The sequence below is a fragment of the Homo sapiens genome, chromosome 11 (genome assembly GCF_000001405.40).
Source record: "Homo sapiens chromosome 11, GRCh38.p14 Primary Assembly".
NCBI lineage: Eukaryota > Metazoa > Chordata > Mammalia > Primates > Hominidae > Homo > Homo sapiens.
Window position 1 is genome coordinate 10,060,001 of NC_000011.10, and position 21,957 is coordinate 10,081,957.

Here is a 21,957-nt window from a genome sequence, read left to right on the forward strand (position 1 = left end):
AGCTAGCAGAAGACGAGAAATAACAAAAATCAGAGCTAAACTGAAGGACACTGAGACACAAAAAGTCATTCAGAGGATCAATAATCCAGGAATTGGCTTTTTGAAAACAATTAATAAAACAGGCCAATAGCTAGACTAATTACGAAGAAAAGAGAGAAAACCCAAATAAACAGAATTAGAAATGGCAAAGGGGATGTTACTACTGAACCCACAGAAACAAAAATAACCATCAGAAACTACTATGAACACCCCTCCGCACACAAAAACTAGAAAACCTTGAAGAGATTAATAAATTCCTGGACACATATACCCTCCCAAGACTAAGCCAGGAAGAAACTGAATCTCTGAACAGACTACTAACAAGCTCCGAAACTGAATCAGTAATAAATAGCCTACCAACCAAAGAAAAGCCCAGGAACTGACGGATTCACAGCTGAATTCTACCAGGTGTACAAAGAAGAGCTAGTAATATTCCTATAGAAACTATTCCCAAAAATTGAGGAGGAAGGACTTCTTCTTAACTCATTCTAGGAGGCCAGCATCATCCTGATACCTAAACTTGGCAGAGACACAACAGAGAAAGAAAACCTCAGGCCAATACCCTTGATGAACATCAATGCAAAAATCCTCAACAAAATACTTGCAAACTGAGTCCAGCAGCACATCAAAAAGCTAACCCACCATGACCAAGTAGGCTTCATCCCTGGGATGCAAAGTTGGTTCAACATATAAAAATCTGTAAACGTGGCCAGGTGCGGTGGCTCATGCCTGTAATCCCAGCACTTTGGGAGGCCGAGGCAGGAGGATCACGAGGTTAGGCGATCGAGACCATCCTGGCTAACACGGTTAAACCCTGTCTCTACTAAAAATACAAAAAATTAGCCAGGCGTGGTAGTGGGCACCTGTAGTCCCAGCTACTCCGGAGGCTGAGGCAGGAGAATAGTGTGAACCTGGAAGGTGGAGCTTGCAGTAGGCTGAGATCGTGCCACTACATTCCAGCCTGAGCAACAGAGCGAGACTCCATCTCAAAAAAAAATAAATAAATAAACAAATAAATCTGTAAATGTGATTCATAATATAAACAGAACTAAAGACAAAAACCACATAATTATATCACTAGATGCAGAAAGGGCCTTTGATAAAATTAAATATCCCTTCACGTTAAGAACTCTTAACAAACTACATATTGAAGGAACATACCTCAAAATAATAAGAGCCATCTATGACAAACTCACAGCCCACATTATACAGAATGGTCAAAATCTGGAAGCACTCCCCTTGAAAACTGGCACAAGACAAGGATGCCCTCTCTCACCACTTAATATTGGAATTCCCAGCCAGAGCAATCAGGCAAGAGAAAGAAATAAAGGACATCCAAATAGGAAGAGAGGAAGTCAAACTATATCTGTTTGCAGATGACATGATTCTATATCTAGAAAACCCCAGGCTCAGCCCAAAAGCTCCTTCAGCTGATAAACAACTTCAGCAAAGTTGCAGGATACAAAATCAATATACGAAAATCACTAGCATTCCTATACACCAACAACAACGAAACCGAGAGCCAAATCAGAAAGGCAACCCATTCACAATTCCCACACATAAAATAATAAAATACACAGGAATACAGTTAACCAGGAAGGTGAAAGATCTCTACAATGAGAATTACAAAACACTGCTCGAAGAAATCAGAGTAGACACAAACAAATGGAAAAACATCCCATGCTCATGTATAGGAAGAATCAATATCATTAAAATGGCTACCTTGCCCAAAGCCATTTACAGACTCAATGCTATTCCTATCAAACTACCAATGACATTCTTCACAGGACTAGAAAAAACTATTTTAAAATTTATATGGAACCAAAAAAGAGTCTGTATAGCCAAGGCAAATCTCAGCAAAAAGAGCAAAGCTGGAGGAATCATGTTACCTGACTTCAAACTATAGTGCAAGGCTACAGTAACCAAAAATAGCATGGTACTGGTACAAGCACAGACACACAGACCAATGGAAGAGACCAATAGAGAGCCCAGAAATAAGGCCACACATCTATGGCCATCTGATCTTTGACAACGCTGACAAAAACTAGCAATGGAGAAAAGACTCCCTAAATGGTACTGGGATAACTGGCTAGCCATATGCAGAATACTGAAGCTGGACCCCTTCCTCACACCATATACAAAAATCAACTCATGATGAATTAAAGACTTAAATGTAAAACCCAAAACTATAAATACCCTGGAAGACAACCTAGGTAATACCCTCATGGATCTAGGAATAGGCAAAGATTTCATGACGAAGTCACCAAAACCAATTGTAACAGAACCAAAAATTGACAAATGGGGTCTAATTTAACTTAGGAACTTCCGCACAGCAAAAGAAACTATCAACAGAGTAAAGAGAAGCCTACAGACTGGGAGAAAATTTATGCAAACTATGCATCTGACAAAGGTCCAATATCCAGAATCTATAAGGAACTTAAACAAATTTATAAGAGAAGAACAAACAACCTCATTAAAAAGTGGGCAAAGGACATGAACAGACCATTTTAAAAAAAGACATACATGTGGCCAATAAGCATATGGAAACAAGCTCAATATCACTGATCATTAGAGAAATGCAAATCAAAACCACAATGAGATACCATTTCACACCAGTCAGAACGGCTATATTAAAAATTCAAAAAATAACAGATGCTGGCAAGGTTGTGGAGAAAAGAGAACCCTTATACACTGTTGGTGGGAGTGTAAATTAGTTCAACCATTTTGGAAAGCAGTACGGTGATTCCTCAAAGAGCTAAAAGCAGAACTACCATTTGACTCAGCAATCTCGTTACTGAGTATATACCCAAAGGAATATAAAGCATTCTACCATAAAGACCCAGACACGTGAATGTTCACTGCAGCACTGTTCACAACAGCAAAGACATGGAATCAACCTAAATGCTCATCAATGACAGACAGGATAAAGAAAATGTGGTACATATACACATGGAATATCATGCAGCCATAAAAAAGAAAGAGATCATGTCTTTTGCCGGACCATGGATGGAGCTACAGGCTATCATCCTTAGCAAACTAATGCAGGAACAGAAAGGCAAATACCGCATGTTCTCACTTATAAGAACATATGAACACAAAGAAGGAAATAACAGACACTGGGGTCTACTTGACAGGGGAGGGTGGAAGAAGGGAGAAGAACAGAAAAGATAACTATTGGGTACTTGGCTTAATAACTTGGTAATGTAATAATATGTACAACAAACCCCCGACACATGTTTATCTATGTAACAAACCTTCACATGTACCCTCTAACCTAAAGTAAAAAAAATATATATATATATATATTTTTTTAATTTTTTTATTTTATTTTTTTTTGAGACAGAGTCTTGCTCTGTCGCCCAGGCTGGAGTGCAGTGGCGTGATCTCGGCTCACTGCAAGCCCTGCCTCCTAGGTTCACGCCATTCTCCTGCCTCAGCCTCCCGAGTAGCTGGGACTACAGATGCCCTGCACCACGCCCAGCTATTTCTTTGTATTTTTTAGTAGAGACGGGTTTCATCATGTTAGCCAGGATGGTCTCGATCTCCTGACCTCATGATCTGCCTGAGTCGGCCTCCCAAAGTGCTGGGATTACAGACGTGAGCCACCGCGCCTGGCCAAAAATTTTTTAAAAGTTAGAAATTATAATATAAAAAAACTCAAACTACTGAAGACAAAAACCATAATGTCTGAGATAAAAGACAAATCAAATGATATTCACAACAGATTAGATGCTATGGAAGAAAAGACTAGTAAACTTAAGTTTACACCAATAAAAATTATCTAAAATAAAACACACACACACACACACACACACACACAGAGAGAGAGAGAGAGAGAGAGAAAACGAAAAGAGAATCAGTGAGCTGTAAGAGAACTTCAAGTGGCCTAAAATATAAGTAACAGGAATTAAGGCGTCGGGGGGAGCAAAAATATTTTAAGAAATAATGGCAAAACTAATACCAGATGCAAATATGACTGCATAAAACAATGAAGAATACCAGATGGAGTAACTACATGGGTAAATGCATAAGATTTTTTTTATTATTTAAATATCTTTTAAAGATGATTGACTATATAAATAAAAATAACACTGCAGCATGGGGTTTATAGCATATATAAAACTACAATATATGTCAACAATAGCACAAAATTTGGGAAGGGAGAAATGAAAGAGTACTCTTGCTGTATAGTTCTTATACTATAGGAAAAGTGATACAGTATCACTTGAAAGTAGAATATACAAATTAAAGATTGCATAAGTTAAACAAGGATTGTTTAAGCCCAAAAGTAACCACTAAAATGAAAATACAGTGAGTTGTAACTAATAAGCCAACAAAGGACTTAACCTAAAAGAAGGCTGAAAAATAAAGGGTAAAAAGGACCAATGGAATGAACAGAAAACAGTAAAATAATAGATTCCAGCCTAACCATATTAGTCATCACATTAAATAGATTTTAAGACCACGTAAAAAAGCAAGACCCAACTACATACTGTGTACAAGAAACATTTTAAATACAAAGACTCGAAAAGGTTAAAAGAAAAAGGAGGGGAAACAGATATATTATGCTACCATTAAATAAATAAAGCTAAAGTGGCTACATTAATATCAACGTAGATTTCAGAAATTTTTTTTAAACAGGAAGAAGACATTTTATAATGATATATGGGCCAATTAATCAAGAGAACATAAAATCCTAAACATTTTTGTACATAATAAAGATCTTTGAACTATGTGAAACAAATCTGATAGAACAGCAAGAGGGAAGAGGCAAATATCCTCTATTTCAGTCAAAGATTTCAAAACCCCCTCTCAATAACAGATAGAACGAATAGAAAAATAGTGAGGATATAGACGATCTGAACAATCTGTCAATCAACTTGACCTATTTGATGTTTATAGAACACTCCACACAGCAGCAGCAGAATATGCATTCTTCTCAAGTACATCTGAATTAGTTGCCAAACCAGACCATATACTGGGCCACTAAGTAAGCCACAATAAAATTAAAATGATTTAAACAATATAAAATATGTTCTCATGTCAAAGGGAATTAAATTAGAAATGAAAAACAGAAATATCTCTTGAAAAATCATAAATTTAAAAACTAAATGCATACCTAAATAACTCATAAACCAAAGAAGAAGTCAAAAGAAAAAATGGAAATTATTCAGAACTAAATGAAAATGAAAACAACCTATAAAAATTTGTAGGATGCTACTAAAGTAGTATGTAAGGGGAAATTTATAGCACTAAACACTTAAAATGTTATAGAAAGCTTCAATCGATGAACTCAGTTTCCACCTTAAGAAATCAGATGAAGAGAAAGTTAAATCAAAGTAAATAAACAAGAAAAGATAATAGGGATAAAAACAGAAATCAATAAAATAAAAAGTAGACACAGTAATAAAAAATCAACTAAAGCAAAAGTTTGTTCTTTGAGATAAAAAAAACTTTAGCCACACTGATCACACACAGAGAAAAAAATGTTAATATTTGGAATAAGATGATATCACTAGAATTTCTATAGCTATTAAAAGGATCATAAGGGAATATTATGAAAAACATCCTATAAATAAACTTGACAACTTAGACGAAATAAAGAAATTCTCTAAAAGACACAAACTACTGGCCAGGCACAGTGACGCACGCCTGTAATCCCAGCACTTTGGGAGGCCAAGGCAGGTGGATCACTTGAGGTCAGGAGTTCGAGACCAGCTTAACATGGTGAAACCCCGTCTCTACTAAAAATACAAAAACTAGCCAGGTGTGACGGTGCATGTCTGTAATCCCAGCTACTCAGGAGGCTGAGGCAGGAGAATCCTTGAACCCAGGGGGTGGAAGTTGCAGTGAGCCAAGATCGCGCCATTGCACTCCAGCCTGGGCAAGAAGAACAAAACTCCTTCTCAAACAACAAACAAACAAACAAACAAAAAACCAGACAAACTACCAAACCTCACTCATGAAGACATAACCTGAATAACCCTATATCCATTGAAGAAAATAAAACTATAGTTAAAAAACTTTCCACAAAAACAAAAACAAAAAACCCTACAGTTCCAGATGGCTTCACTGGTAAATTCTACTAAACATTAAAGGTTTTTTCCTTAAAAAAATAACAGCAATTCTACCCAAACTCTTCTAAAAAAACGGAAAAATATAGAATACTTTCCAACCCATTTTATAAGGCCGACATTACCAATACCAAAACTTGATAAAGACATTACAAGAAAACTACAGTTCAATATCCCTCATGAACACAGTTGTAAAAATACTAAATATCTATATATCTATATATCTATATCTATATATATATATCTTTTATTTTAGCAAATTGAATCCAACCATGTAATAAAAGGCTAACATATCATGACCAAGCGGGGTTTAACACAGGAATACAGGGTTGATTTACATTTGAAAAGCAATCAACAGAATTCATTTTAACATGTTTACATAAAAAAGAAACAAACTAAGAAAAATGATATGATCATTTCAATACAAACAGAAAACGCATTTGACAAAAGTGAGCAAACACTTCTGTTAAAAACTCTGAGTACACTAGGAGAAAAACCAGATTTCCTTAACCTAATAAAGAGCATTGATGTGAAATCCACAGCTAACATCATACTTAATGTTGAAAAACCGAATGCTTTTCCACTAAGATCAGAAACAAGATAGGCACGTCTTCTATCACCACTTGTATTCAACTTTGTGCTCCAGGTTCTAGCCTGGGCAATCAAGCAAAAAAAAGGAAGGAACCCGATTGCTGAAAATCTACAGAGAAAAATCTACAAAGAGTGGACTCTACAAAGAGTGTCTAGAACAAATAAGTTTAGCAAGGTAGTAGAACACATGATCAATATATAAAAATCAATTACATTTCTTCCTATTAGCAATGAGCAAACCAGAAATTTAAATTAAAATGTCATTTATAAAAGCATCAAGAATATGAACTAGGCTAGGTATGGTGGCTCACACCTGTAATCCCAGCATTTTGGGAGTGTGAAATGGGAAGACTGCTTGAGGCCAGGAGATTGAGACCAGCCTGGGCAACACAGTGGGACCCTGACTCTGTTTTTTTTAAAATGAATTACTTAGGGATACATATGTCAAAAGATGTGAAAGAGCTGGACAATGAAAATTACAAAACACTGCTGAGGAAAACTAAATAAGACCCAAACAAATAGGAAGATGTATATTGTTGAAGGGCTGGCCAACTTGATATTGTCAAGATGTCAATTCTTCTACAAGTCAATCTATGTTTGAATAAATCTACAGATTTGATGCAATCCCAGTCCAAGTGTCACCAGGTTTTTTGGTTGTGTGTTTGTTTTTTTGAGGGGGAGGGGGAAAGTGAGGACAGTAGAAGTTGTAAAACTGAGTTTGAAATTCCAGTGAAAATGTAAAGGACCTAGAATGCCAAAACAACTCTGAAACAGACTAAATTGGAGAAGTAACACTACCTGATTCCAAGAATTGTGGTAAAGCAACATTAACCAAAAAAACAAAAACAAAAACAAAAACAAAACAAAAAAATGCCCAGCATAGTACTAGAGTAAAGAAATGGAAATAAGGTCTGGTGTGGTGACTCACACCTATAATCTCAGCACCATGGGAGGCCAAGGCAGAAGGATTGCTTGAGTCCAGTAGTTTGAGACCAACCTGGGCAACATAGGGAGACCCTGTCTCTATAAAAAATAACGACAACCAAAAAACAAAAACTTAGCTGTCTGTGCATCCAGCTCGAGAGGCTGAGGTGGGAGGATCAATTGAGCCCAAAAGGTTGAAGCTGCAGTAAGCTATTATCATGCCACTGAACTCCAGCCTGGCAACAAAATGATACCCCTCCCCCGAATAAAAAAAAGAAATGCAAACAGACAAATAAAACAAAACACAGAAACCCACACATAGAAGGACAACTGATCCCTTTCCATTAATAAGAAACTTTAACACTTGCTCAAGAAAAGTGTAACTATTGTTAGGTGTTCTTAAAGCAGGGGATAATGAAATCATGAAATGAAGCAATGTGTTAATGGAGAAGGTCCCTCTGCTGCAGGCAGCAGAAATTCTCCCTGCAAATTGGATTACCTGATCTATTGCTGCTTGCAAACTGCCAGCTGCAAACCTAGCATAGCACCCACATGGTTAAATTTTACTTTACATGTATTTATACAGTATTAAGTGCTTCCTTAAGTGATTTTTTAAAATAAATCATAGGCAATTGAGTTCTGATTACAACTCACCCTTTCCTGAATCCTCATTTTGGTCAGTTTGAGAAACAAGGTGCTTTTCTGTTTGAATCCAAGGTCTAGCCCTCTGGCTAAGGGTCCTACATACCACTGACCTGACCATTTTAACCACTTTCAGAGCTGTGACTTTAGAAATACTGTTTTCCTATTTCTTACCCATTCTCATTATTCAGACTCTAGCACTGTGTTTAAGACTTGGGATTCTAGAATAAAAGACATATTCAAATTTCAGACTTGCTATTTACTTAGCTGTGTGGGCTCTCCACAATCCTTTAATTAATAAAATCTTAATGAAAATACTGTGATATACCTTACGTAGCTTTTATAAAAAACTATTTTATGCACCTAAAATGTTTAACATAGTACCTAGCAAAGAGTAAATATTTAATAAATAGTAGCTATTGTATTATCATTATTACTAATATTATTACCGACTCAGCCCCCGTCACCCCTTTCAAAATAATGTCAACTTGATTCTTCTCTACCTCAAAACTTGAATCAATTCACAGCATTGTTGCCCTCAAGGAGCTGATGAATGAAAATACATACTGATTATTTTGAATTCTTTAAACAATTAAAATATGAATATATTTTTATTGCCGAAAGCCCAAACAATACAGAAATTTGTAGAGAAATCATTCAAATTCTTGCTGCCCAACCAAATGATGTGGGGCACTCTACCCCTCACTTCCAGCCATATTAATCATTATTAATTGCTTTATGTGTTTCCTTCCAAATATTTTTGTATGCATTTACCTACATATGTATGTGTGCATATAAATATTCAGGCATAATTTGAATAGTACAATGAAACCCATTTACCCTTATTTAGATACACTAATTGTCAATAATTCACCACATAAAAATAACTAATTTTGATTTTTTTATATTCTACTTTAAGTTCTAGGGTACATGTGCACAACGTGCAGGTTTGTTACATAGGTATACATGTGCCATGTTGGTTTGCTGCACCCATCAACTCATCATTTATATTAGGTATTTCTCCTAATGCTATCCTCCCCTCCCCCCACCCCCCAACAGGCCCCAGGGTGTGATGTTCCCCACCCTATTCCAAGTGTTCTCATTGTTCAATTCCCACCTATGAGTGAGAACATGTGGTGTTTGGTTTTCTGTCTTTGTTACAGTTTGCTAAGAACGATGGTTTCTAACTTCATCCATGTACCTGCAAAGGACATGAACTCATCCTTTTTTATGGCTGCATAGTATTCTATGGTGTATATGTGCCACATTTTCTTTATCCAGTCTATCATTGATGGGCATTTGGGTTGGCTCCAAGACTTTGCTGCTGTGAACAGTGCTGCAATAAACATACATGTGCATGTGTCTTTATATTAGAATGATTGATAATCCTTTGGGTATATACCCAGTAATGGGATTGCTGGGTCAAATGGTATTTCTAGTTCTAGATCCTTGAGGAATCACCAAACTGTCTTCCACAATGGCTGAACTAATTTATACTCCCACCAACAGTGTAAAAGCATTCCTATTTCTCCACATCCTCTCCAGCATCTGTTGTTTCCTGACTTTTTAATGATCGCCATTCTAACTGGTGTGAGATGGTATCTCATTGTGGTTTTGATTTGCATTTCTCTGATGACCAATGATGATGAGCATTTTTTCATGTGTCTGTTGGCTGCATAAATGTCTTCTTTTGAGAAGTGTCTGTTCATATCCTTTGCCCACTTGTTGATGGGGTTGTTTTTTTCTTGTAAATTTGTTTAAGTTCTTTGTAGATTCTGGATATTAGCCCTTTGTCAGATGGGTAGACTGCAAAATTTTTCTCCCATTCTGTAGGTTGCCTGTTCACTCTGATGGTAGTTTCTTTTGCTGGGCAGAAGCTCTTTAGTTTAATTAGATCCCATTTGTCAATTTTGGCTTTTGTTGCCATTGCTTTTGGTGTTTTAGCCATGAAGTCCTCGCCCATGCCTATGTCGTAAATGGTACTGCCTAGGTTTTTCTTCTAGGGTTTTTATGGTTTTATGTCTAACATTTAAGTCTTTAATCCATCTTGAATTAATTTTTGTTATAAGATGTAAGGAAGGGATCCAGTTTCAGTTTTCTACATATGGCTAGCCAGTTTTCCCAACACCATTTATTAAATAGGGAATCCTTTCCCCACTTCTTGTTTTTGCCAGGTTTGTCACAGATCAGATGGTTGTAGGTGTGTGGTGTTATTTCTGAAGGCTTTGTTCTGTTCCATTGGTGTATATATGTGGTTTGGTACCAGCACCATGCTGTTTTGGTTACTATAGCCTTGTAGTATAGTTTGAAGTCAGGTAGCATGATGCCTCCAGCTTTGTTCATTTTGCTTAGAATTGTCTTGGCAATGTGGGCTCTTTTTTGGTTCCATATGAACTTTAAAATAGTTTTTTTCCAATTCTGTGAAGAAAGTCATTGGTAGCTTGATGGGGATGGAATTGAATCTATAGATTACTTTGGGCCATATGGCCATTTTCACGGTATTGATTCTTCCTATCCATGAGCATGGAATGTTTTTCCATTTGTTTGTGTCCTCTTTTATTTCGTTGAGCAGTGGTTTGTAGTTCTCCCTGAAGAAGTCCTTCACATCCCTTGTAAACTGGATTCCCAGGTATTTTATTCTCTTTGTAGCAATTGTGAATGGGGGTTCACTCATGGTTTGGCTCTCTGTTTGTCTGTTATTGGTGTATAGGAATGCTTGTGATTTTTGCACACTGATTTTGTTTCCTGAGACACTGCTGAAGCTGCCTATCAGCTTAAGGAGGTTTTGGGCTGAGACGATGGTGTTTTCTAAATATACAATATTGTAATCCACAAACAGAGACAATTTGACTTCCTCTCTTCCAAATTGAATACCCTTTATTTCTTTCTCTTGCCTGATTGCCCTGGCTGGAACCTCCAACACTAAGTTGAATAGAAGTGGTGAGAGAGGGCATCCTTGTCTTGTGCCGGTTTTCTCTTTTTTTCTCTCTCTCTCTTTTTTTTTTTTTTTTTTTGAGAGGGAGTCTCACTCTGTCACCCAGGCTGGAGTGTGGTGGCGTGATCTGAGCTCACGGCAAGCTCTGCCTCCCAGGTTCACACCATTCTCCTGCTTCAGCCTCCAGAGTACCTGGGACTACAAGCGCCCGCAACCACGCCTGGCTAATTTTTTGTATTTTTCATAGAGATGGGGTTTCACCATGTTAGCCAGGATGGTCTTGATTTCCCAACCTCGTGATCCACCTGCCTCGGCCTCCCAAAGTGCTGGGATTACAGGTGTGAGCCGCCGTGCCCGGCCATTGTGCCAGTTTTCAAAGGGAATGCTTCCAGTTTTTGCCCATTCAGTATGATATTGGCTGTGGGTTTGTCATAAACAGCTCTTATTATTTTGAGATACATTCCATCAATATCTAGTTTATTGAGAGTTTTTAGCATGAAGGGCTGTTGAATTTTGCTGAAGGCCTTTTTTGCATCTATTGAGATAATCATGTGGTTTTTCTCACTGGGTCTGTTTATGTTATGGATTACGTTTATTGATTTGCATATGTTGAACCAGCCTTGCATCTCAGGGATGAAGCTGACTTGATCATGGTGGATAAGCTTTTTGATGTGCTGCTGGATTTGGTTTGCCAGTATTTTATTGAGGATTTTCGCATCAATACAGAAATTTGTAGGGAAATCATTCAAGTTTTTGCCGCCCAACCCAATGATGTGGGGCACTCCACCCTTCACCTCCAGCCATATTAATCATTATTAATTGCTTTATGTGTTTCCTTCCAAATATTTTTTGTATGCATTTACATACACATGTATGTGTGCATATAAATATTCAGGCATAATTTGAATAGTACAATGAAACCCATTTACCCTTACCTAGATTCACTAATTGCCAAATAAGTCACCACATAAAAATACCTAATTTTGACTTTTAACCAAAATATCTTTTATATCTTATATAGCCTTTAAGGTAGATATTAAGACTATAGTTCCTAAAGCCAAAACTTCACAAACGGTTTCTAAGAAAACATGACTCATATCAAGGATTTGTATATTTTAAGGGAAATTTAAGATTCTAGTCAGCACAAAGTGTTGACATTTCAAAATCTCTCAGGCCCAACAACCTACTCACTTCTTGAAGCTCACTACCTTTTAAGAGTCAGAAATCTTATGTATAATGACTCAGGAAACAGTTGAAGATATACTTCTATTTTTTTTTTCAATTAAAATTGACAAATAGTAATAATTCTTTGATTTTTAAGAATAAATGTAAAAGTACTTAAATAGAGGAAATAAGGTGAGTTCCATTTCAATTCCTTTTCCTTTCTTGTAAATTATAAACGTTGGAATTTTACTAATTTCCTGGACAACAAATAGAAGGAATGCTATCATTTGGGGCTTTTCCACTAATGGCTGCATTACTATGTTCTCAAAAAACAAAAAAATCCAGTGGAATCTTTTTTTTTTTTCTTTTTTTTTTTTTTGGAGACAGGGTCTCATTCTGTTGCCCAGGCTGGAGTGCAGTGGCACCATCTCAGATCACTGCTGCCTCGCCCTCCCAGGGTCAAGCAATCATGATCCTGTCAAGTAGCTAGGACTACAGATGCATGACACCACATATGGCTAATTATTATTATTATTATTATTATCATCATCATCATCATCATTATTTTTGGTAAAGACAGGTTTCACTTTTTTGCCCAGTCTGGTTTTGAACCCCCGGGCTCAAGCAATCCGCCTGCCTTGGCATCCCAAAGTGCTGGGATTCCAGGTGTGAGTCATCGCACCCAGTGGTTATCTTGCTTTCAATTGACTCCTTCAAAAGGCCAATATATAATGTGATCTGAGTAATGGGATGTATTGCAATATGGGATCTACAGGGTTGCTGTGAATATGAAGTGCTTAGAATTCTGCCTAGCAGGTAAGTAATCAATAAAGGCTTATCTGAAGAGAAATAAAGTAAGCTTTTACTTACAATGAGTTATAGTTATGTGTTTCCTATATCCCTTGTAAAGTTGAAGTAAAAATTATTAAAATTATTTTCATTTTAAAATTATTAAAATTTTCAAATTCCTTATTAAATTGAAATTAAGGAAGAGCAATTTCCTTAACAAATTATATGGAAGAAAATCAAAGAAGAAACTATAGATTAAGAAAGATTTAAGTGGCCCAGCACAGTGGCTTGCACCTGTAATCTCAGCACTTTGGAAGGGCCAGGCGGGCAGATCACTTGAGGTCAGGAGTTTGAGACCAGCCTGGCCTACATGGCGAAACACTGTCTGTCTCTACTAATAATACAAAAACTAGCTGGGTGTGGTGGCATGCACCTGTAGTCCCAGCTACTCAGGAGGCTGAGGCATGAGAATTGCCTGAAACTGGGAGGCAGAGGTTGCAGTGAGCCAAGATTGTGAGATCGCACTACTGCACTCTAGCCTGGGAGACAGAGTGCGGCTCCAACTCAAAAAAACAAAAAAAAAGATTTAGGAGACCTATCAACCAAATGCATATGTAGACCTTGTTTGGATGTGAATTCAAACAAACCAACTGTGAAAAGATAGTAAATGAGCAATATACACACTTACATACTACAAGTGGGGAAATATAAAGACTGCAGATGGTTGGTGATATTATTACTTATGTTTTAGGTATGATAAATGACACTGTGGTTGTGTTAAGAAAAAAGAGGTCTTTTAGAAGTACTCTAATATTTATGAACAAAGTGATATGAAGTTGAATCAAATGTAATTATCATTTTATAGGTGAAAATAAATGGATGTAGACAATTTCGTATGATTCAATTAATACAATATTTGTAGTTTGCTTCACAATAATCCAATTAGAAGGGTTTGAGGCCAGTAGGTAGACAGGTATAATAGAGCGGGAAAGAAAGAGTGACCCAGAGTTAACGATTGCTGTAGTTGTATGATGAGTACATGGGAGTTCATTGTTCTCTATTTTTATCTTTTAATTTTTCTATGTTTTTAACAAGAAAACCAAGAGAACCCTACCTTATACAACTGTGCCTTGCCTAATGCTTATTAGCACTATATTTGATAAATAATAAATACCAAAAACATAGATGTTGAACATGTTTGAATCAATATTCTCAGAAAGGTCCATTTATAAGAAATGATGAATTCACAAAAACTCAGCCAGCAAAGGAAGATCAAATGGAAAGACAAAAATTAGAAACAAAATGTTCTTCGAATTTTATAAAACTCTCACATGTGACTGACTGACTTTTCATTCTGCAGATTTTATTATCTCTCAAAGTTATCTCTCAAAGTCTGTGATAGCTATATATTCATCTTTTGCTTATTTTAAGTGTTTTATATTATTTTACTTAGGCTGATTAAAAAATATTTGCACTGAACTCCATTACCTATCTCTGTTTATTAAGTTTAGATGTAGTTATAGACTAGGGAGAACAGAGAAAATTGAAAATGTGTACATTAGATTCCCCAGAGTAATTTTGTTTTTGGTTTTTACATCAGACACACACAATTTTAAATACAAGTTTATCCATCTGAAAAGAGATTTCTTGCTTATAGCCAGGTCAATTTTGTTTACACATATATTAAATACAATTTGCTAAATATAGCCAATGTTAATAAGAATAGATTCATTTTACCCTCTGTATGTCTGGAATGGTTAAGATATAATAGTTTAAAAGTTACAGAAAAATATATTAATGTTTCCTTAATATTAGGGAGAACGTGTTAACATTTAAAGCTGTCAAACAATGGAATAAACTATGTCCTAGAGAATGAGAACCCCTTACTTCACAAATTAAACCAGAAGTTGGATGGCAATTTATCAGATATACTGAAAAAGAGATTCACAGAGAAGGCTAAAACTTGATAATCTCATGGCCTGTGCCACCAGACAGACAAGAATCTTGATCTGACTCTTAACTTAGGTTATAATTTTGGTAAATTACCTAATTTCTCTAAACCTCAGTTTTCCTTGAACACAAAATACATCATTACTGTCAAGATTAAGTGATATCATGCATGTAAACTGGTTAGCATTCTGCCTCAGACATTGTAAGTGATTAATAAACACTGTTATAGAATTATGACCAGTCACACAATCAGTACTCAAGTAATGAGTAACATCTTCACTACTACTGCTATTGCTATGTAAGAGAATAATAGGTAGTTGATATGGTTTGGTTCTGTGTCCCCACCCAAATCTTATGTTGAATCGTGATCCCAAGTGTTGAAGGTGGGGCCTGGTGAAAGGTGATTGGATCATCGGGGCAGATTTCCCCCTTGCTGTTCTTATGATAGTGAATGAGTTCTCATGAAATCTGGTAGTTTAAAAGTGTATAGCACTTTCCCCTTCATTTGCTGTCTCTCCTGCCACCATGTGAAAACATGCTTGCTTCCTCTTTGCCCTTCTGCCATGATTGTAAGTTTCCTGAGGCCTCTCTGCCATGCCTCCTGTACAGCCAGACTGTGGAACTGTGAGTCAATTAAACCTCTTTTCTTTATAAATTACCGGTCTTGGGTAGTTCTTTATAGCAGTGTGAGAACAGACTAACACAGTAATTGATGAATGCAACAGAGGACACCTCTAGCCTGAGACATAAAGGATGGGATCGTAGAGGAAACAGAAAACCATTTCTGGTAGTTTTTTTTTTTTTCTGCGAGTTGGCAAATTAGAGGCTTTGTTACCATAGCTCACCCACTCAGAAATAGCAAAATAGCATGTACAGATTCACATGGTGAACTTTCATCCAAGAAGAAACATGAGAGCTAAATATAAAAGCAAAAGAATAATTGAATACTTTGAAAAATACAGTGGGCATTAGGCTACGCTGTGGATCTGTGGTGGAAAACTGTGAGTGAATCACCAGTGTATGACGGGGGAGAGAGTATCTTACAATACATATTTCTACTAAGGAACGAGGCAATCCAGGCCACTGGGGAGCTCCGTGACCCTACTGAGAGCTAGATCTTAAGTTGGAGAACAGGGAGACTGTAAGAAGGAATGGCAGTAGAAAGTGCTCCATATGCACTCCCGTCTCCAACTACTGACAGAAGGCCATTCTTGATCCAACTAAGGGGGCTGCACGAAAACCAGCCAGCCAGCACAGGTGGCAGACACTGGTTTGGAGAATCTTCAGATCAGGACTTGCAATCCAGTCTCTAGTGGGACAGGAGCCCCTATGGCCAGAACTGAGAGGTGAGAATATGTGGGCTCCAGCTTTGGGTACAGGAGTTGGGCACTACCCGTTTGCAGCATGGGACCAGGAGGGGTGTGGCCTGGGAGCCATGTTTTTGTCTCAGGGAGGGAGCTTTGAGACCTGGGGCGATGTTACAATCTGAAGAAAGACTGCTTATAACTTGGCTGGCTGTATTAGCATACCACTGGCAGCAGGCCATGGGAGGGAGCCCTGCCAGGCTGAAAGCATGGACTTCAGGCAGGTCCCACTACTGCCTGCTAGGCTGTGGAACCAAAACTACCCTTCTGTCCCTGTATTGGCTCTTTGACACAGCACCAGTTGCTCTGCTCCTCCCTCGAGCATTGCCCCAGGGGCCTGAGAACTGCTTTCTGATCCTCCTTGGGGACAGCACTTGTGCTTGGTGTTGGGGATGCCGGAGCATGGGACTGTCCAGCCTAGCCCCATTTGGCCTTGCCTCCATCAACCTGCATCTGAGGAAGAGCTTGGGAACAGGGCCCCTGGGAGTTCCACAGCCTAGTCCATCACCTAAGACATCAGAGTACCTCTGGTTAACAAAGGTCAAGCATATTGCCACCACCTCAGCTGGATCTCGCATGCTAGCGCCACCTACTGGCTGCAAGGCCAACCTGCAGAGCTTATTACATTATCTGTTGATAAAATTGCATGGGGTTTGACCACTGCTCAAGGAAATAAAAGAGGACACAAACAAATGGAAGAACATTCCATGCTCATGGATAGGAAGAACCAATATCGTGAAAATGGCCATACGGCTCAAAGTAATTTATAGATTCAATGCCATCCCCATCAAGCTACCAATGACTTTCTTCACAGAATTGGAAAAAACTACTTTAAAGTTCATATGGACCCCAAAAAGGGCCCATATTGCCAATACAATCCTAAGCAAAAAGAACAAAGCTGGAGGCATCATGCTACCTGACTTCAAACTATACTACAAGGCTACAGTAACCAAAATAATATGGTACTGGTACCAAACCACATCTATACACCAATGGAATAACAAACACCACACATCTACAACCATCTCATCTTTGACAAGCCTGACAAAAACAAGCAATGGGGAAAGGATTCCCTATTTAATAAACGGTGTTGGGAAAACTGGCAAGCCATATGCAGAAAGCTGAAACTGGATCCCTTCCTTAAACCTTATACAAAAATTAACTCAAGATGGATTAAAGACTTAAATGTTAGACATAAAACCATTAAAAATCCTAGAAGAAAACGTAGGCAATACCATGTAGCACATAGGCATGGGCAAAGACTTCATGACTAAAACACCAAAAGCAATGGCAACAAAGCCAAAATAGACAAATGGGATCTAATTAAACTAAAGAGCTTCTGCACAGCAAAAGAAACTATCAGCAGAGTGAACAGGCAACCTACAGGATAGGAGAAAATTTCTGCAAACTATCCATCTGACAAAGGGCTAATATCCAGAATCTACAAAGAACTTAAACAAATTTACAAGAAAAAAACAAACAACCTCATCAACAAGTGGGCAAAGGATATGAACAGACACTTCTCAAAAGAAGACATTTATGCAGCCAACAAACTTATGAAAAAATGCTCATCATCACTGGTCATTAGAGAAATGCAAATCAAAACCACAATGAGATACCATCTCATGCCATTTAGAATGGCGATCATTAAAAATTCAGGAAACAAAAGATGCTGGAGAGGATATGGAGAAATAGAAACGCTTTTACACTAGTGTAAACTAGTTCAACCATTGTGGAAGACAGTGTGGTGACTCCTCAAGGATCTAGAGCTAGTAATACCATTTGATCCAGTGATCCCATTACTGGGTATATACCCAAAGGATTATCAATCATTCTAATATAAAGACACATGAACACATATGTTTACTGTAGCACTGTTCACAATAGCAAAGACTTGGAACCAACCCAAATGCCCATCAATGATAGAGTGGATAAAGAAAATGTGGCACATATACACCATGGAATACTATGCAGCCATAAAAAAGGATGAGTTCATGTCCTTTGTAGGGACATGGATGAAACTGGAAACCATCATTCTCAGCAAAGTAACACAAGGACAGAAAACCAAACACCACATGTTCTCATTCATAAGTGGGAGTTGAACAATGAGAACACATGGACACAGGGAGGGGAATATCACACATCAGGGCCTATCGGGGGTTTGGGGGCTGGGGGAGGGATAGCATTAGGAGAAATACCTAATGTAAATGACGAGTTGATGGGTGCAGCAAACCAACATGGCACACGTATACCTACGTAACAAACCTGCAGGTTGTGCACATGTACCCCAGAACTTAAAGTATAATAATAAAAAACAAATTTAAAAAAATTGCATGAGGTTTGAAGAACAGACAAGCTCTGTGTGACCTCTACTACCAACACCACACCCTGGCTACTCAGGAGGACTTGAACCCATTTGCTCAACCTTACATTATGACTGCAACTAGCATTTAAGAAATCCACCAAACTGAGGCTATTTATAACCAAGAAAATCATACATAGTCTATGCCACCAAATGCACCCATAAGCAAAGCCAGAGAACCCTACTCAACATACACCACAGATGCATCCTGAAGAAGAAAAAAAGTTACCTTTCAGTAAAAGTGAATTCAAAAATAAGAAGAAGCGACTGTTACCCCATATGCAAATGTATCAGTGCAATAATACTGGAAATATTTAAAAAAACACAAGATGCTATGACATCTCAAAGAAACGCCGTAATTCTATAGCGATGGAGCCTAACAAAAAAGAAATCTCACAACAATGTACAAGAGAAACCAGAAAACTAATGCAAAGAAATTAGAAAATAAATTCAGGATATAATTGAGAAATCTGCAAAGATACATACAACTACATCAGTATCTACATTTACAGGATATGACTGAGAAATTCACCAAAGATATCTACATCCCCCTATTTATCTATAAAGCCAAACCAAACTTTTGGAAATGAAAAATTTATTGAAGAAATTCCATAATACAGTTGAAAGTTCTGACAACAGACTAGACCAAATGGAAGAAAGAATCTCAGAAACTGAAGACAGGTCTTTCAAATTAATCCAGTTAGACAAAAGTTTTTTAAAAAAGGATTTAATAAACAAACAAAGCATTTGAGAAGTATGGAACTATAAAAACAAGACTGAACCTACAAATCATAGGTACTCCTGAGAAATAAAAAAGTTTGGACACCTGATTTGAGGAAATAATTATGGAAAACTACCTTATTCTAGCAGAAGATCCAGATATTCAAATACAAGAGGCTCCATGAACTCCGGAAATTACATTGCAAGAAAGAACTCACCATGACATAGTCATCAGAATGCCTATGGTTAACATTAAGAGGGGAAAAAAAATTCTAAAATCAGCAAGAGTAAAGCATCTAGTGACCTATCAAGGAAATCCCAAGAGACTAACAGTAGACTTCTCAGCAGAAACCTTACAAGCCAGAGAGATTGAGATTCTATTTTCAAAGTGCTTAAAGAAAAAAAAATGTGGGACAGGCACGATGGCTCATGCCTGTAATCCCTGCACTTTAGGAGGCTGAGCAGGGTGGATCACCTGAGGTCAGGAGTTTGAGACCAGCCTGGCCAACATGGTGAAACCCTGTCTCTACTAAAAACACAAAAATTAGCCAGGCCTGGTAGTGTGTGCCTGTAGTCTCAGCTACTTGGAAGGCTGAGGCAGGAGAATTGCTTGAACCCGGGAGGCAGAGGTTGCAGTGAGCCGAGGTCACACCACTGCACTCCAGCCTGGAAAATAAGAGCGAAACTCTGTCTCAAAAAAAAAAAAAAAAAAAAAAGTAAACCCCAAATTTTATATCCTGCTAGAATAAGTAAAGGAGTAATAAAGTCTTTCCTAGACAAGGAAATGCTGATGGAATTCATCACCACTAGACCGGTCCTATCAAAAAAACTCAAAGAAGTTTTTAACATGGAAACAAAAGGTTGACACTCTCCATCCTAACAAAACACAAAAGTATAAAACTCACAGGTCTTATAAAACAATTACACTTATGAGAAAGACACATAAATCATATGGCAATGTGACAAAACCCTACTAAACCTAAAAAGACAGAGAAAAAAAAAAGAATCCCAAAGGCAAGTAGATAGAAACATTATGATAGAAACAAAAACCTTACATATCAATATTACTCTTTAACATAAATTGATTAAATGCTCTACTTAAAAGATACAGATTCGTGGAATGAATTTAAAAACAGATCCAACTATATTCTGCTTATGAGAAATTTGCCTTACTCATAAAGACATGTACAGACTGAAGGTAAAGGGGTAAAAAAACATATTCCATGCAAACAAAAATCAAACGCAAGCAGAAATAGCTATACTTATATCAGACAAAACAGACTTTACATCAACAGTAGTAAAAAAAAGGAAGTCTTTATGTAATAATAAAGCAATCAATTCACCAAGAAAATATAACAATCCTAAATATATATGGACCCAACACTGCAGCACCCAGATTCATAAAACAAGTATTACTAAACCTAAGAGAAAAATATAGATAGCAATACAATACTAGTGGGGGATGTCAGCACACCACTGACAGCACTACGCAGAGTATCATGACAGAAAATTAAAGTGGACTTTAGACCAAGTGGACCTATAGACATTTACAGAACATTCTATACAAGGAATATATCAACAGATGGAACATTCTCCAAGACAGTAACTATATTAGGTCACAAAAAAAGTCTCAATAAATTTTAAAAAAATCTCAAAATCATACCAAGTATCTTCTTGGACCACAGTGGAATAAAACCAGAAATCAATTCCAAGAGGAACTTTCAAAACCATACAAACACATAGAAATTAAAGAATATGCTCCTGAATGATCTATGGGTCAACAATGAAATTAAGGCAGAAATTTACAACAAAAATTGAAAAGAATGAAAATGGAGACACAACATATCAAAAACCTCTGGGATACAGCAAAAGCAGTGCTAAGAGGGAAATTTATAACATTAAATACCTCCATTTAAAGAAATGGCTGGGCACGGTAGCTCACACCTGTAATCCCAGCACTTTGGGAGGCTGAGACGGATAGATCGTCTGAGGTCAGGAGATCGAGACCATCCTGGCTAACATGGTGAAACCCCATCTCTACTAAAATTACAAAAAATTAGCCAGGCGTGGTGACACGCGCCTGTAGTCCTAGCTACTCGGGAGGCTGAGGCAGGAGGATCGCTTGAACCTGGAAGGCAGAGGTTACAGTGAGCTGAGATTGCGCCACTGCACTCCAGCCTGACCCACAGAGCAAGACTCCACCTCAAAAAAAAAAAAAAAGAAAAAGAAATATTGCACATTAGCAACCTGACATTGTATCTCAAGGAACTAGAAAACCAAGAACAAACCAAACTCAAAGCTAGAAGAACAAAAGAAATAACAAAGATTCAAGCAAATAGAAAGAAATTGAGACCAAAAAAATAAAACATAAAGGATCAACAAAAAATTAAAAAGTTGATACTT

At 37.4% G+C, this 21,957-nt stretch overlaps 1 protein-coding gene across 11 annotated transcripts in view, besides 1 other annotated feature; it reads right to left on the bottom strand.

Annotated features, from left to right (window-relative positions):
- Positions 1-21,957, bottom strand: part of SBF2 (SET binding factor 2) — a 526,174-nt gene that overhangs the window by 281,333 nt on the left and 222,884 nt on the right. The window lies entirely within an intron of this gene.
- Positions 16,666-17,271: an enhancer, noted in NCBI's record as "H3K27ac-H3K4me1 hESC enhancer chr11:10098213-10098818 (GRCh37/hg19 assembly coordinates)". NCBI's record gives its function as "activates a minimal SCP1, AML or CMV promoter by ChIP-STARR-seq in primed H9 embryonic stem cells {active_cell/tissue: H9 hESC(primed)}" and the evidence as "EXISTENCE:reporter gene assay evidence [ECO:0000049][PMID:30033119]".